General features: G+C 45.5%; 1 protein-coding gene across 52 annotated transcripts in view, besides 2 other annotated features; it reads right to left on the minus strand.

Moving 5' to 3' along the window:
- TRERF1 (transcriptional regulating factor 1) overlaps nucleotides 1-15,722 on the minus strand; it is a 227,294-nt gene that overhangs the window by 160,011 nt on the left and 51,561 nt on the right. The gene's annotated exons all lie outside the window — the stretch shown is intronic.
- Nucleotides 488-667: a silencer, noted in NCBI's record as "silent region_17202". NCBI's record gives its function as "represses an Ori minimal core promoter by ATAC-STARR-seq in GM12878 lymphoblastoid cells {active_cell/tissue: GM12878}" and the evidence as "EXISTENCE:reporter gene assay evidence [ECO:0000049][PMID:35858748]".
- Nucleotides 5,432-5,581: an enhancer, noted in NCBI's record as "active region_24551". NCBI's record gives its function as "activates an Ori minimal core promoter by ATAC-STARR-seq in GM12878 lymphoblastoid cells {active_cell/tissue: GM12878}" and the evidence as "EXISTENCE:reporter gene assay evidence [ECO:0000049][PMID:35858748]".

Raw genomic sequence — 15,722 nt, forward strand, 5'->3', positions numbered from 1 at the left:
CTACAGGCATTTGGTACCATGCTCAACTAGTTTTTTCTATTTTTGGTAAAGATGAGGTTTCACCATGTCCATGTTGCCCAGGCTGGAGTGCAGTGGTGCGATCTCGGCTCACTGCAACCTCTGCCTCCCAGGTTCAAGCAATTCTCCTGCCTTAGCCTCCTGAGTAGCTGGGATTACAGGGTGTACCACCACGCCCGGCTAATTTTTGTATTTTTAGCAGAGGCGGGGTTTTGCCATGTTGTCCAGGCTGGTCTCAAACTCCTGACCTCAAGTGATCCACCTGCCTTGGCCTCCCAAAGTACCGAGATTACAGGTGTGAGCCACTGCACCCGACCTGATCCTGGTTTTCTGATTCAAAAGTAGGATGATCAACATAACAAGAATACACAAGGAGCTCACCAGCTTCTCTTCTTAACAGGGTTTTGAAAATGTTCTTCCTCAAAATTACCTTCCCATCATCTGAAAAATGTACAGTCACTGACACTGGGGCCACCACCACCCTGAAGTTACGTGGACAGGCAGGCAGAACCCTTTAGAAGGTGCACTATAATAACCACTGCCAGGAACGCAGGTGCACTCACACTTTCGATAATGCCTCCAAGTACTATCAGCTGAGACTGTGCAGCACAAAGTGACCTGGACCCCGAAACCTATCGGGAGTGGCAGGCACCTCTAGAAGCCACCTGAGAATCCTCCCTGCAGCTCTGCCTGTGGCAGTGTTTTAATGGCATATTACTCAAAGGCACCACTGACATCACTTTTAAACCTACCCCACCACCACTGCCACTTCATCATAAAATAACCCTTATATTTTAAGCTGTAAATCAGCATTTGTCAAGTTCTAAATTGGGCTACAGCAATATTTATTCATCAAAGAATAAATCTTCTCTGCACAGTCATAAAACTGCCTAATAATTTAATATGCTATCATTCTTACCTGAAACTTGTCAGAAAGTGGCCTGAAAGAGGTATGTGTTTTACAGTTGACTGGCGGTAAGCCTATAGTTTATTAAATAGTTCACAGTTTTAATTCTCTATATGGGGGGAAATGGCACACAGAACATATCCTATGCAGAATAACAATTCAGAGATTCATTAATCTCTGTTTTGGGATAGAAAAAAAGCAGATTCTCACCAGGTGCGGTGGCTCACGCCTATAATCCCTGCACTTTGGGAGGCCGAGGTGGGCGAATCACCTGAGGTTGGGAGTTTGAGGCCGACATGGTGAAACCCTGTCTTTACTAAAAACACAGTGTCAGGCACTGTATTTTTAGTAGAGACGGGGTTTTGCCATGTTATCAGTTCAAATGTCTCAGGTTCTGACATACAGTGACTGTATTTTTAGTAAAGACTAGTAAAGTGCCTGGTGGCAGGTGCCTGTAGTCCCAGCTACTCAGGGACTGAGGCAGGAGAATCGCTTGAACCCAAGAGGCAGAGGGTGCAGTGAGCCGAGATCACGCCATTGCATTCCAGCCTGGGCGACATAGCGAGACCCTGTTTCAAAAAAAGGAGAAAGAAAGAAAGAAAAAAGCAGATTCCCTAAAGAGGACCAAAGACTCCCCCAATGGGTAGAATAGATAGAAAAGCAAGAAAAACCCAAATTGTAGCACTTGGCATGGAGCGTGGACAAAAGGCACTGGATTAGAGAATTAATGTTAGGGGACAGGTCTGTGCAGCAACAAGACATGATGGAGAAATGTTAGAAGGAAAAGGTGGAAACACCTCTAAGCTGCAAAATTATCACAGATGGATCAAGAAGCCAACTCCTGGGACCCTTCCGGATCTTTGGTTGGGAAGCTCTCTGGAGCTGGGGGGTTGCATTTCAGCAGAAGGATGTTCTTCTCACAGCCCAGTGCTGAGACACTGCTCTCTCTGAGGATGAGATGCGCAGCAACTAAGCTCTTAGGTCAAGATTTCACAACTATTGACATTCAGGCTGATCATTCTTTGTTGGAGATGGGGTTCCTGTACATGTAGGATGTTTAGCAGTATCCCTGGCCTTCACCTATCACTTGCCAGCACCCCCTACCATCATCACCACCATCACCAATTATGACACCCAAAAATATCTGCAGACATTGCCAAATGTCCCCTGAAGGCAAAAACCACCCCGACTTGAGAACTACTGTCCTAGATGAATTAAGTCTAAATTTTTATTTATTTTGGGGGATTTAAAAAAATTTTTTTGCTGTTGTTTTATACACAGGATCTAAGAATTAAGTCTAATTTAACAAAGGTGGGCCACTGGGGGTAAACCCACTCTGCCCCAAGAAATGTTATCTATTTCCTTTTCACTGCCTTTTCTCAGAAGTTTCAAAATACAAATCTAAGGAAATGCAGAAACTAGAACATCAATATTTAGCTCACACGCTGCAAACTTCTTACTAGCGAAGTCCAAGCCTGCCTAAGGGCCGAGAAGCTCCAGCCAGACTTAGCTTTCTTTCCTTCTTTCCCTATTCTGTAGCCCCTCCAACATATCCCCTACCTACCAGCCTTTACCTTTTACTATTAAGTTACCCCCCATTTCCTTTACGTTCTTCCACAACCTTGTGGTTTACTCTGGCACAAGAACATCTTTCAGGCTGGCATGCACTGGTGGTTAATGACAAGGTGGTTTTCTAAGCCACAAACTCTATTAATTTTATGTTCAAATGCACTCGCTCTGTTCATGGGTGAGTGTGGGAGGCAACGCCTCCCCAGTGCTGAACACTGAATTCATTATAGTACTTCAATAATCAAACAAAGATAGTGAATCACTTTTTAATTGGGGGAAAAAAGCCAATTTCATATGTTCACATTCGGGGCCACATTTCCCACAAGAATTTTTACATCAGTAAACCAAGATGCTACCTTTTTTATTTTATTTTATTTTATTTTATTTTTTGAGACAGGGTCTGGCTCTGTCGTATAGGCAAGAGTGCAGTGGCACAATCTCAGTTCACTACAACTTCTGCCTCCCAGTCCCAAGCCATCCTCCCATCTCAGCCTCCCGAGTAGCTGGAATCACAGGTACATGCCACCACGCTTGGCTAATTTTTACATTTTTAGTAAAGACAGGGTCTCACTTTGTTGCCCAGGCTGGCGATCTTCCCGCCTCCACCTCCCAAAGTGCTGGGATTACAGGCATAAGCCACTGCACCCAGCCCAAGACACTGCATTTAACATGAAAGATTCTAGCCAGCGAGCTGCCTGGCTATCAGGGTATCAAAACCAATTGGGAGATAAGAGAACCTGGGCTGAACTCAAATAAATGTTGTTAAAAGATGCAGTTTTGATTTCTTTCTTTTTTTTTTTTTTTTAGGCAACTTTATTCAGGCAGTACTGGAACAGGATGGGAAATACTAACATGAAGTTGGGTTCGAATTATTTTTCACCTGTTTTTAATCATCTATTACACAGGTAGATGGTGCCCAACCTTCAAAACCAGAAGACTAGGAAAAATACGAGCTCAGCACACTTACACAGTCTCAACTCAGTGCTGGCTGGCCTGGCATCAAGTCCGCACAGTTGCCGCCAACCACAGTCAAGTTGGTACAGCTGCCATAGAAAGCTGAAAATCAGACTGCCACGAGATCTGCCTGAAAGTTCTCTGTACATTCCCCCAAGTTTCATCCACCTGAAAAATGCCAGTTACCACCACCTAGAACACCTTTAAACAGCTTGGTGGCACTGCCAGAGTAAGAGACACCTAAGGCTTGGGTTTTTCAGAAGGTGAGGATTCCGTTAGTAAGTTGATTAGAACTCCCAGAATTAGCCCAGCAGTGTCAAACAGCCATGAGAGGCAATCGGCTTGGTTTTTAAAAATGGTTTCAGTCTCATGCTCTATGTGTTCCATTCATTGTGTACAACTTCACTGAATTAGCAGACAGTCCAGCTTATGGCTTCCATGCCTCCACCAAACAAGATTAGAGAAAAAAACAAAACAAAACAAAACAGAAATGAAACCACAGGAAGGCAGGCAGGTATCCAAGTCATGGGCCCCAGTGTGGATCAGTTTGGATGCACTGTGTGCCTACAGGGTCTTGCAGGTGAAAACAGCCTCTGTTACTGAATCCTTCCACCAAGACTGGAACCTAGACACTCAGAGCAGGCCTTAAACACAATCTGAGAATGACAAAGACAAAATACCATGGACATAAGATAGAATTGGAGAGAGGGGGTACTTAAAAAGAAAAAATCAAGACAACCATTAGCTTTTCTTTAAAATAGCCCACTCCCTGGTGCACTTCCAGTAGAATACAGTTGACACTGAAATCTGTAAGGCTGTGGCACAGGCAAGAAGCGAGGTACCTCTGTGTGTCAGTGGCCAGTCTGCCTATCTATCAGCAAAGCTGGAGGATTCCGGGTCAGGATGTGCCCTGGACAAGGGAAAGCTGGCCCTAGAGAGACATTCTATTGCCAGGCTACAGACCACACTCCAAGCCCAGCTCTCTCAGAAACTGATGCCAGTGAAGGCAACGTGAGAGACGCAGGCTGTGACAAGAGTGAACTAAGAGGCAGGACACTGCTCCATCACTTTGGGTCACTGCTGGAGGTCCCCATTGTCCATCTCTCCATTGGCATCCCTTAGTGTTAAATAAGACTGGACCAGTGACCCAGCACGGAGCCTCTGAACCCCAAAGAATGTGCCCAGTAAGCATGGGCTCACCATTCCTGTTTTCATTCTTTTATTATTAATATTATCCAGCCGTCATTGATTAAGCACCTATAATGCCTTCCCTCCCAACTTCAAACACTTGATAGGAAGGTAAAGTGAGGCAATTCAGGTGAAGCCCACACAAACACATAGCTCTTATCATTAGCACAGCTATTATTGTGAGCTCAAACCCACTCAAAGCCCCTACAGAACTAACTCAACCTGAGTTAAGTGAGCTAAAATATCCCAAGAGGGAGTGCCTATCAGAAGCTTCATTTCTCAGGACCACGTTTGCTCTTCAAATGAGAAGCTAGTTGTCTAAAGGAACAATCTCTCTCTCCATCTGGCCAGCCAGTGACTTGTCCCTTGTATGTGTGAAATGTGCCTTCCCCAACAGGAGGCATTTTAAGCTTGACGGGGTTTTGTTAAAGTTAATATACGTGGGCCCTTTACAATCCTGGAAACTAATTATTGAATCGCCTCTCTCCTTCTTCAAGTCATCAGGTGGAAATGAAAAACGGAGGTAGAAGCAGAGAAAGAAAAAGTGTCGGGGGAGAATTCTACTTTCCCCACGTCTTCGAGTACAAGAGCTAATCTAGTCCTACAAACGAAGATATACAAGAGGCACAATTTAAATAACTTTCCCAGCCTTTAATTAAGCAAAGTAGAGTGAAAGGATCAACAGCCTCTGACATGAATTTGCATACCTTTTGCCAAGTTCTGTGTGTGTGGAGGGGGAGTCACATCTTCCCCAAACTTGTTTCACACTCACTACTCATTCTCTCCACAGGCCTCATAAGAGGCACAACCATTTAAAACAAACAAGAGCTTCTAACCCAACCATTTGAGAGAGCTATGTGATTTTAAAAAGAAAAAAAAAGGTCAACAGCGTTCTGAGTACATATCGCAAGCTTTGTTCTACTCGCTTCCCCACTTCCTGTTGCTTCCTCACCTCGTAACTTTTTATTTTTGAAGCCTATGCGTTCGCACTGGTATCACTGTAAGGTTTCAGTGGGAGGCCGTCGGAGAGACCAGGATGAGGAGGCTCTGTACTGTTCTGAGACAGACAGGACCGTACGAAAGACAGAAATCACAACCGCCCGGCCCTCAGGAAAGTACAGCCAAAATTTCACCGCTCCCGTCAACAGTGGGGGTGCTAGGAAAACAGTTGTGGGCGAGCTTTACTTTGTGGGGAGCACACTGTGTGGGCAATGGTCACTTAACCATTAGTTAGTACCAAGTGGCTTACAGCTGGGGGCAAGGGGAAAAAACACTTGACACCCACAGACCAAGAAATACACGAGCCGGCTCTGCAGGTTACTAGGGCCTCTCCAAACACCTGCCCAAGCCCTGCACTCCAGGGAGGGATCACCACTGGGAAAAGGAACTGAAAGACTGAAATGCTTTGTGAGTGGGACCCTGTCTTATCTCCAGCTTAGAACAGAGGTCAGAACAAAAGGGGGACATGGACACCATTTGGCCAGACCCTTCCTGTTACAGAGGACACCAGGACCAAGAGCTGTTATCACAAAGCTAATTTACTCACAGGAGACCAGGTATTGGATCCCAGTTCTCCCATCTCCCAGAACAGGGCTTTTCGAGATCTTCTCAAACGAACATGGAGCAGGTGCTCAATAAATGTTGGCTCAGCTACACTGGACTGCAATGCATGGTGGGTGGAGAGTGCAACCCTAAAATACTTTTTGTCTGATACCAGGAGGTCCCATCTTCCAGAAGATGTTTTGGGGGTTAGAGTAGCCTGTCCTCATAATCTACTCTGGCTCTTAAATGCCTAGGGTTAAGGACTGCCCTTCAACAGGTCCCTAAGCTAGACTGTTGCACCCATCTGCCATTATTTCCCAGCCGGGGGGAACAATTCTGGGAGACAGGGTGATATTGCACAAGTCACAGGGCAGGGAATGAAAAGCTGGGCTCCAGCCTCTGGTGAACAGTCTCAGCAGATGGCCTCAGGGAGTCCTCCTGCCCACACCCACCACCCCCATGCCTTCCTGCATCCACGTGTACCCTTTGAACACGATCTCTAAGAAGCTGCTGGTCCTGTGGGCCTCGGATCCTAAGAGCCTATACTCTCCCATCTGCTGGCCACCACAGAGCTCATTCTTCTGCCCCCACCTTCACCCTCAGCCTTCCCGCCTACTCTACCTGCCTAGAACATCTGTGGGCCCTCAGAACATGGAGCAGTGGGCTGGAGGGTTCTATGTACATTTCTACCTAATTTGAGTTTACCATGAGCTCTCGATGTGTCTTCTGGAATCCTCCCCACAGAGTAAAGCTTTGCTCCCAAAATAAAATAAAACTTAAAATGTGATGAAGGCCTGTATGTGCCAGGTGCTTGGCCAGGGTCAGGCTGGGCTGTGTCTCAGGAACTGGGAGAAAGACATCCAGAGTTGGAATCCAAACAGCTGAAGCCCAGCTTCACCCCATCAGCCTCTATCTCCTTCCCATGACTGATTTTCTTCGCAGACCTCATCGACACCTGACATTGTAGTAGATGTGTACACGTATACTTATTATCTGTCTTGCTCATTGGAAGGAATGCTCCATGAGGGCAGGGGCTGGCTTTGTCTATCCTGGCAGCCAGGGCAGCACCTGGCACATGGCAGGGGTGTGATGCCTGCTAAATGAATGAAGAAATGAATGAGTGAATGAATAAGCAGTTGATCCTGGATGTGCCTCAATCATGACCAAGTCACTTAACATCTTTAAGTTTCCTTATTTATAAAATGAGGATAATAATCATGTATTCTTTATGTGACTGGAGTGATCATTAAACAAGAAAATGATCATAAGAGCATTTAGGACGTACCTGGGACACAGCAAACCAACGATAAACGTTAGCTATTACTTGTTAGCCATTATTATTATAGTCACTGATGGAAACAGAGAGAAATAAAGCCTCTTTATTATACCCTGGGCAGTTTTTAGGCTAACTAACTGAAATTCTGTGTGTGTAAGACCTATCCAGAAAGGATCATTAAGAGAGGCCTGAGCCATGGGCCTGCATAGATACTATGGGTCCCTCAGAGCATCAGTCTTAGCAGAAAATCTTTTCATGTCCCTGAAAGTGATAAGCTCATTTGCACAAAGGTTGCTTTATGGGTCTCTGATAGCCATCATCCCAGCAATTAAAGTCTTCAAATACCTAATTCCTGCCCTCAAGAGCTTACAGTCCAGCTGGGGGAAATGAGACATTAACATATGAAAGGTGACCTATAAATTCAAACTCAAGACAACATATGTCAAATGTCAAATGAGTACACTGGAGATGAAGTCCTGAGAAACGCTGGTAAGGCGAATGTTTAACAAGCAGCACACACACACATACACACACATACACACACACACACACACACACACACAGCAGTTGTCAATTTCCATGGTATAAATACTCCCACTATGGCGTTTCAAGCTGCCGACGCGAGGGCCACTGGACATGGAGTTGGGAAGAGACATGCACAGTTAACTCCCACGAGCTGGTGCGAGCCAGCTTCCACACGCATCACCGATCTAGGTCCTATTGTCAATAATCTCTCAAACAGGTCAAGGGCTGTGGGCCAAGTGGTCAGTGCTAACAACCAGCATCTTTGTAGTACTTCAGGTTACAAAGCACATCAGAGGTCATTACTGTATTTCATCCTCACCACCTGGCCAGAAAGGCATTCCTGCCTTCATTTTGCAGATAAATAAACTGGGTTTCAAAAAAGTACCACAAATTTTTCACTGTCATTCTGCAAGTGAGTGACATTGTCAGGGCTTGAACCAGTATCTTCTGGGGCAGCCAAGGCCTCTCATCATCCCCTCTGCCCCTGAGAAGGAGGGCTTCTCAGAGAAGTGGTTGAAGGACGATGAGAAGTAAGTAAAGGTCAGAACAGAGATTCAGGAGAGGTACAGCACTTAAGCAGATGGTGAATTCCCTGCAGAGTGCAAAGGTCACGGGAGTGTGCAAGGCCTGGCAAAACCTGAAACTAATGCAACCATTTAGTTCAGTGTGCTTCACCAGAGAATTTCTTTCCTAAAACAGTGACCTAGCTATTAAAATCTGCATTCCCAAATCCGCTGCAGCATTAGGTGAATGAGCAAAAGAAATGGAAGGCAATTTAGATGACTAAATATAGGGGAGCTGGTTAAATAAGTTATAGAACTTCCGCATAATAGAATGCTGTGCCACCACAGAAAGTCAGGTTTTAAAAGAGCAGTGTACAACTAGGAAATCCTCACAATAGAGTTTTTAAAGCACATTACATAACAATATGTGCAATATGATTCCAGTTCTGTAAAAATGAACAAGCAGGCAAACTCTCCAATGTATATATGCAGGAAAAAAAAAAAAAAAAAGACTGGGATGTAAACTTCCAAATCCTCACACTGGTTTCTTCCAGAAAGATGGATGTTTTTATTTTCTTCTCTATGATTTCCTATATGTTCCAACTTATTTCTGTTAACAGGTTGCTTTTATGACCATAAAACAGTAAACGGACCAGATTTTTAAATCTGGATTTTCAAAGCCTGAGAAGACTACAAAGAATCAGTGAGGTAACGCCCAGGAAGACACCCCTCTAGGGTGAAGGTCCAGGTGCTCAGGCCTCTGATACTTTCCCCATATACTCCAAAGAGACAAGCCAGGTCACCCCCAAACTCCAACTCTCCCCCCACAACACACTAACAACAGCACATCCCTCCATACCATCCCCGTGCCTCCTCCGTCAGCAGGCTATCCTGTCTACACCCTCCCCTGATCAACGCCCACCTTGGTGGGGGACAAGGCTTGGAAGGCACAGCAGAGAAGCCAGGCACAGCCAGTAATTCATGAGCACCCTCCATGTGCTGTGCAGTAAGCCAGGGCTTCACATACGGGACTGCAGATGTACACATTCATTCTAATACCTAGTCATTGCTTCCAACACTTTCCAGAGAGGAGACTGAAGTTCAGAAATAATATCCAGGCTCACTCAGCCAGCGAGTGTCCAGGATTGGGAATAAAAACCAAGTCTAACCAGAAATGGTCTATAGATGCTTAAGAGGCTTGCCCAACAACTGCACTTGGCCATTAGGAAATGCAAAACAATAATAATATAGCAATACTAATGCAAAAAAATTTCAATTCAACTTTTCATTTATACTCAGGCTGAAAGTGAAATGTACCACCAGTCCTGATTTGAGAATATTAAAAAAAAACAGATATTTAATCATTTTAAAGGAAAGAAAAGGAAAGGAGGGGGAAACCTCAGCTCTGCGCTCAACCCTCATTCAGTGAAGTAAAAATAAAAACCCAACCTCCCCCCAACACATTGTGCTTTAATGAAAGCACCAAGCCAATCTTCTTCACTACCGCCCACCACAGCCCACTTCGTTTAAATTTAGGCACCCACCAGGCAAACTGTACCCAGCCACATTCTCTGAAATGAAGTCATAAAATTCTCATCTGTAACACCGGCACTTGTTCCCAGGAAAACAAGACAGGTGGGGTAGACAGGGCCGGCACCCTTCTGGGGAGTCCAGGCTGTGCCTCAGAAGAGCCCTTTGCAAAGAGTTGGTTCCGTGACCAGGCTCAGCCCACATGGGGCTGTGTGACCTTGTGACAGCCAACTTCCCCTCTACAAAGTCAGGGTGGACTAACTAAAAGGAGCGCTAAGGCCCATCTAAATGTACAGCTCTATGGCTAAAGCCCAGATGCCCCACCCACCTCCCAACACCCAGAAAATGAACAGCAACCCAAGATGGGGGTAGAGCAGGGCTAAATTCATTGGTGTGACCTGGGGCTGCTGTCATTCTTAAGATCTGGCTCTTGCAGTATTCAGTTCTCAGGAAATGTCTGACAACAGGAGGGGGACAGAGGATTGAGCCCGCAGGAAGGCTTTGGCAATGAAGGCTCTGTGGCCACCCTTTGGTCCCATTCAGGCAAGATCGGAGAGATTTTGCCCACTCGGACTCAACAAACTCTGAGTCCCTGATGCCATACCTGGCTTTGTAAGTGTGACTGGGTCAGAGAAGAGACCGAAGAGAGAAGCTACTAGCTAATGAAAACTCTCCTCAGTTTTCTGGATGAAACTGAGGCTTGAGGGGCCTACAAGCTAGCTGGATTTTTCTTCCAACAACCTAGTCCATGGATTTTTTTCCAAGGTTCTCTTCCAGTGTTTCATGAGCGTATCTAAGCCCTTACAGTAGGTCCATGATCACCCCTCAAGCAAAGGAATGAGACACTCTAGAAAAGGGGAATACAATTACCATTCACAACTCAAGGAGAAGCACGGCCTTAACAAATGCGTAGCTCACATCTCTGTACTACAGATGCCATCAAACTACCTCACGCTCACTGAGACCTGTGGATTGACCACACTGTTCAACCAACATGTGATTCCAATTCCTGCAATCAGTGGATAAGCAACTGCCATCTGATCAATGGTCATGCACACGTGTATGTGTGCACACACACACAATTCTGGTCTTCCCCAGGCCCTGCTCCCCTTCACACCTGGAATGTCCCAAGCAGGTCTGTTCCCAGTTCGTCATCTTCTGAGCCACCCTCTAAGGACTCCATCAGAATCCAGTAGAAAATCAGAAAGGGTCAGAAAAAGGAGATGTAGAGGAAACTGGAAGGAAACTGATGGCCTCTGCGCGCTGAAGCTCTCATATGTGTGACTTTACTATCCAGCTTCAGGAGCTGAGAAATAAACCTCCCAGACCTCTCCCCTTGCTCCGACCGACTGAAACAAGAACCCCAAATCTGGGCCCCCACCCCTCCTCCCACCATGGCCAACTCAAAGCCCAGAATGCCCCACCCTCCAAAGGTAGTACTTTGAAGGCAAATAAAAGTGAGATATGCATATTACACTAATTTACACAGTGCTAAATTTACCCAGCCCATCTTCCCAAGAGGGGGAAATGATAGAGAATAATAAATATTTTTTATTGTAAAAGTAAATATAGTACTTTTACAGTAAAATACTTTTATTGTAACAGTATGGCTGATGCAGGTAGTAGTGAAGAGCATGAACTCTGAAATCAGGATCTGGATTCTAATACAGACCCTCTCACTTAATAGCTGTGTGACCTCAGGCAAGCTACTCAACCTCTTCGAGATTTCTTGTCTGTACAGGGTGTATTATAAGAGAGAACATATATAACTTGGGATTTATTCATTTGTTTCCACAATGAAACCCACAAACTGTTTTCCTCAGCTGCCTGGGATGGTGGGAGGAGAATTACAAGTACCCCAAGAACTAGAAGGACCCAGACTTCAGAAGCAGAGTAAGAACGACAAGACAGGCACATCAGTCCCCTACCCTATCTAGGCCCCTGTACACACCCATACACACACCCTGAAGGAGGCGCTGCGGCCCTCACCCACAAACCCCCTTGGGCCACCCTTGCAGACAAGGAACACTGCAGAAATGATCTAGGCATCTGGTTTTCAAACTTTTTTTAGCAGCAGAATCACAGACCCCAATATAGAGAACAGAGATAAAAGGCAAGATGCTCTCAGAGCAGTGGATTCTAAGATTAACTGATCTGCAGCCCTGGAAGAAACTTACAAACTAAAATTACACTGTAACAGAGAAGGGGGAGAAAGAAAGGAGAGGAAGGAGACAGAGGGCATCATCGGAGTATGGAGACAAGAAATTTGATGTGTAACTGGGTTGGGACCTCATGAGGATTACATCTCATTTGTGAGACAAAAACCAACAGCCTCAGGCACTTTCCCCAGAAAGTATTCTCTATACAAACTCCTGGTTAGAGGGGTCAAATGACAGGACACAGGCACCGTCGGGATGTACTGTAGAATGACAATATTATATCACTGATTAATATTGATTAAGATATTATTCAATATTGAATTACTGATTAAGATTCAAACACTCACCCTACTCCCTGAATGGCTTTCACCTGCCTGACAAAATCCCCTATGTCCCAAGACATCTTCTGGGAAAACAGATACAAAATGCCCAATGCCTTTGCCCCAGGAAATGCCACCTCCTATTCAGCCACCACTCCTCACCTCACTCATCCTCGTTGTTTGTCTTTTCAGGTTTCATGGACAGCATTTATTTTCCAATAAAAACCCCACTCTATTAAACAGAAGGACACCCAGCCAATTGTGCCAGCTCAGAAGCTTGTCTCCATCAGAAGTGCATTAATAACCCACTCAAGCGAAGTGTATGACTTGCTAGTTTGGGCAGGTCATAGGTCAGAAGATATCTGCTCTTAGAGAAATAATATATACAGCAATCGTCTGATAAACCAGCCAAAGACCAACATTACAGAGCAGTGGCACTGTGGAGGGGTCCTCCAGAAAGCATGGCCAAAATAGAATATTCCTTCCACTCATCGCAGAAAGTCTGAGTGATGTGAGCTAAGACAGCAAAATATTTTCACAAGCATTCCCACCGGTCAGAAGCCAACTCCACTTTGCAACCTGAATCCTATATTATTATTTGGGAATGACTGTTTAGCATCAGTGATTCCCAAGAAGAAGGTGATAAGTCAGTAGGATGGGAAGGGCAGGGGCCCTGAAGTCAGAGTCCTGAGTTCAAATCCCAGCTCCAGCACTTGCTAGCTGTGTGCCCCTGATTAGATGATGTATGCGGACTGGATGAACATACACAAAATATTCAATAAATACCAGCCCTCTCCTAATGCCTTCCTTCTATCTCCAACCCTACCCCCAAAGTGAAGCAGGTCTGAACATTTTGCAAAACCATTATAGGGCATGTACCATTTAAACCCAGGACAGAATCACCTCTGAGTTTGTGCAGTATGGTAATAAGGAATCCAGAGTGTGGCCATCACATGCCCTTGGTCCTTATTTTCCTAAGCACCTTTCCATAATTTGCCCAGTGCCAAAATTCTATTCATCCTTCAAAACTCAGATCCAATGCCATCTTTGCATCTCTCAACAAAAATTAACCCCCCGCTTCCACTACTCCATTCTGCCTGTGTGCTTACTTTGTTCTCCTTGGTATTACAGTTATGTTATGGTTCTGCCCCTCCAACTCCAAAGAAAAGACTCTCCAGAAGTGAGATCTTGTCTCTCTCATTCCCCAAACCTTCTGGGCCTGGCACATTGCCTTGTGCATGGCAGATCAAGAAAGATTTTGGATGAACGGGTGAATAAATGGATAGACGGATGGATGGGTGGTTGGATGGACGAATGTATGGGGAAGGAATCCATTCAAGATTGTCCTGACACCATGTAAAATGCATGATCAAAGCAATTCTGTAGTGAGAGCTCATCTTAAGTAAGCCAGTGAAACTACAAGGAGATCATGCACTGCTAGGGAGACCATCCCACAGGTAACACCAATGCTCTGGGGAGCAGCAGAAATACTGGCCTGGAACCTACATTGTGTAGGCCTGATTCAAGCTCTGATCCAGTGTGTACCTCAATCAATTCCCATCCCCTCTATGGGCCTCAGTTTCTCCATCTCACCACCTGCCGCCTGGAAAACACAGGGAGAGATTTAACCAGATGGAAGGAAGTCAGGCAGCATGGAGAGAAAATGCTACATAGTCCCCAGGGTCCATTTTATTTTCTAAATGGTTTTGTTGTTTGGTGACTTTTAAAAAGAAAACTCCAATGGAAGAGAAATGAAACAGAATGTACAGAATTTTTTTTAAATAAAACAAAAATCAGAAGGAAGTAGGTCCCTCTCATAGGTTTCTCATTAAACCAATACTGTAGTCAAATTATAGTAATGAGCTGGAGTTATCATTCCCTTTACAGACAAAAACATACTAAACCTAAAATGATCAAAGAGAAAGTATAGACCCCACCACACTAAATTCCACCCCAGAGCTCCCCTGACAGTGAAATCGTTCCAGACTACCAAGCGAGGGACCTGGGTGTCTTCAGGTATCTGCTTGCATGAAAGGAAGAGGTCCTCCTGAATGGAAGCCAACACCCAAATGCCAGCACACAACCAGGAAAGAACCCAGACCTTGGAGCGGCTGCAGCGCTGGGGTCCCTGGCCAATGCAGTCCCGGTGTAGCTTTGTATCTAAAACACTGGAGCAAGCAAGTTCTTCCAGTTTTAAGACTTTGGAAAAGTCACATGCATTGCTGTAGTCTGTTCCAGGCCTAATGCTGATTTGAAGTAACCAGAACTTGACCATGGGGAAGGAGAGGGAGTAGGGAGGAGAGAACACCTCCAGTGGGTCATTGAGACTAGAACTGTGGCATTCTGAACATGTCTGGTAGTAACTGAATGCTCTGGGAACAGAGGCCAGCTTCTCTACCCTAGTTTCTCATTCCCATCCATCCCCCATGGTCAGATCCTCTATGGTGTGGTAGTGAATGGAGAAAGTCACTTTTGTTGCCCACCATTAATCCACACTCTTTCTGTTCTCCAAGAGGGTCCCACAGGACCTCAAATAGATGGAATTCTTGTATTAGAGCCATCTGATATTCCAGGAGTCACTGTGAGACTGTGGAAAGAACATACTCTTTGGAATCAGAATTGTGTTAGAATCCTGATTGTCACTCAATGGAACCCACCCCAGAGGAAAACCTGCTTTCACTGGATCCAGTCGTCTCCAAAGAGGAGTCACAGGACCTGCATCTTTTGTGTGGAGAAAAATACTCCTGGTCCCAGTCACAGACCATAAACCTAACCTCAGCCAGCTACACCCTAAATGCAGCACCACTATTACACAATGGAGAACCAAGCACAGGGGTCTCGTACGGCTCCATGTGATACAACCCAAATGACAGCTGATGACAGCTGCGCAGCCCAGCATGCAAACACATGCCAAGAAGGAGGAGTAAGGCAGCTAGATAATAACAAATATAACTATCCTGTGAGGTGGGGCGGGGGCAGCAGTTTCACCCCATCTCATTGTGAGGGGCTTTCCTTTGGCACAAGCATTCACGATTGCTTGACACTGGCTTGCTTATTGGGGGTACACCTGGGGATGCAGTTGCAAACAAAACACAACCTTTCCCCAACCCCAATCACCCACCACCACCAGGGCCCATGCCCTTAGAAGGGCAGTAAACATTGGCTGGAGGAACAGCAGCATCCTTGTGAGACTGTGGGTTCCAGAAGCAAGGGGGCTCCACTCTAGGACAA

This window comes from Homo sapiens, chromosome 6 (assembly GCF_000001405.40).
Source record: "Homo sapiens chromosome 6, GRCh38.p14 Primary Assembly".
Lineage (NCBI taxonomy): Eukaryota > Metazoa > Chordata > Mammalia > Primates > Hominidae > Homo > Homo sapiens.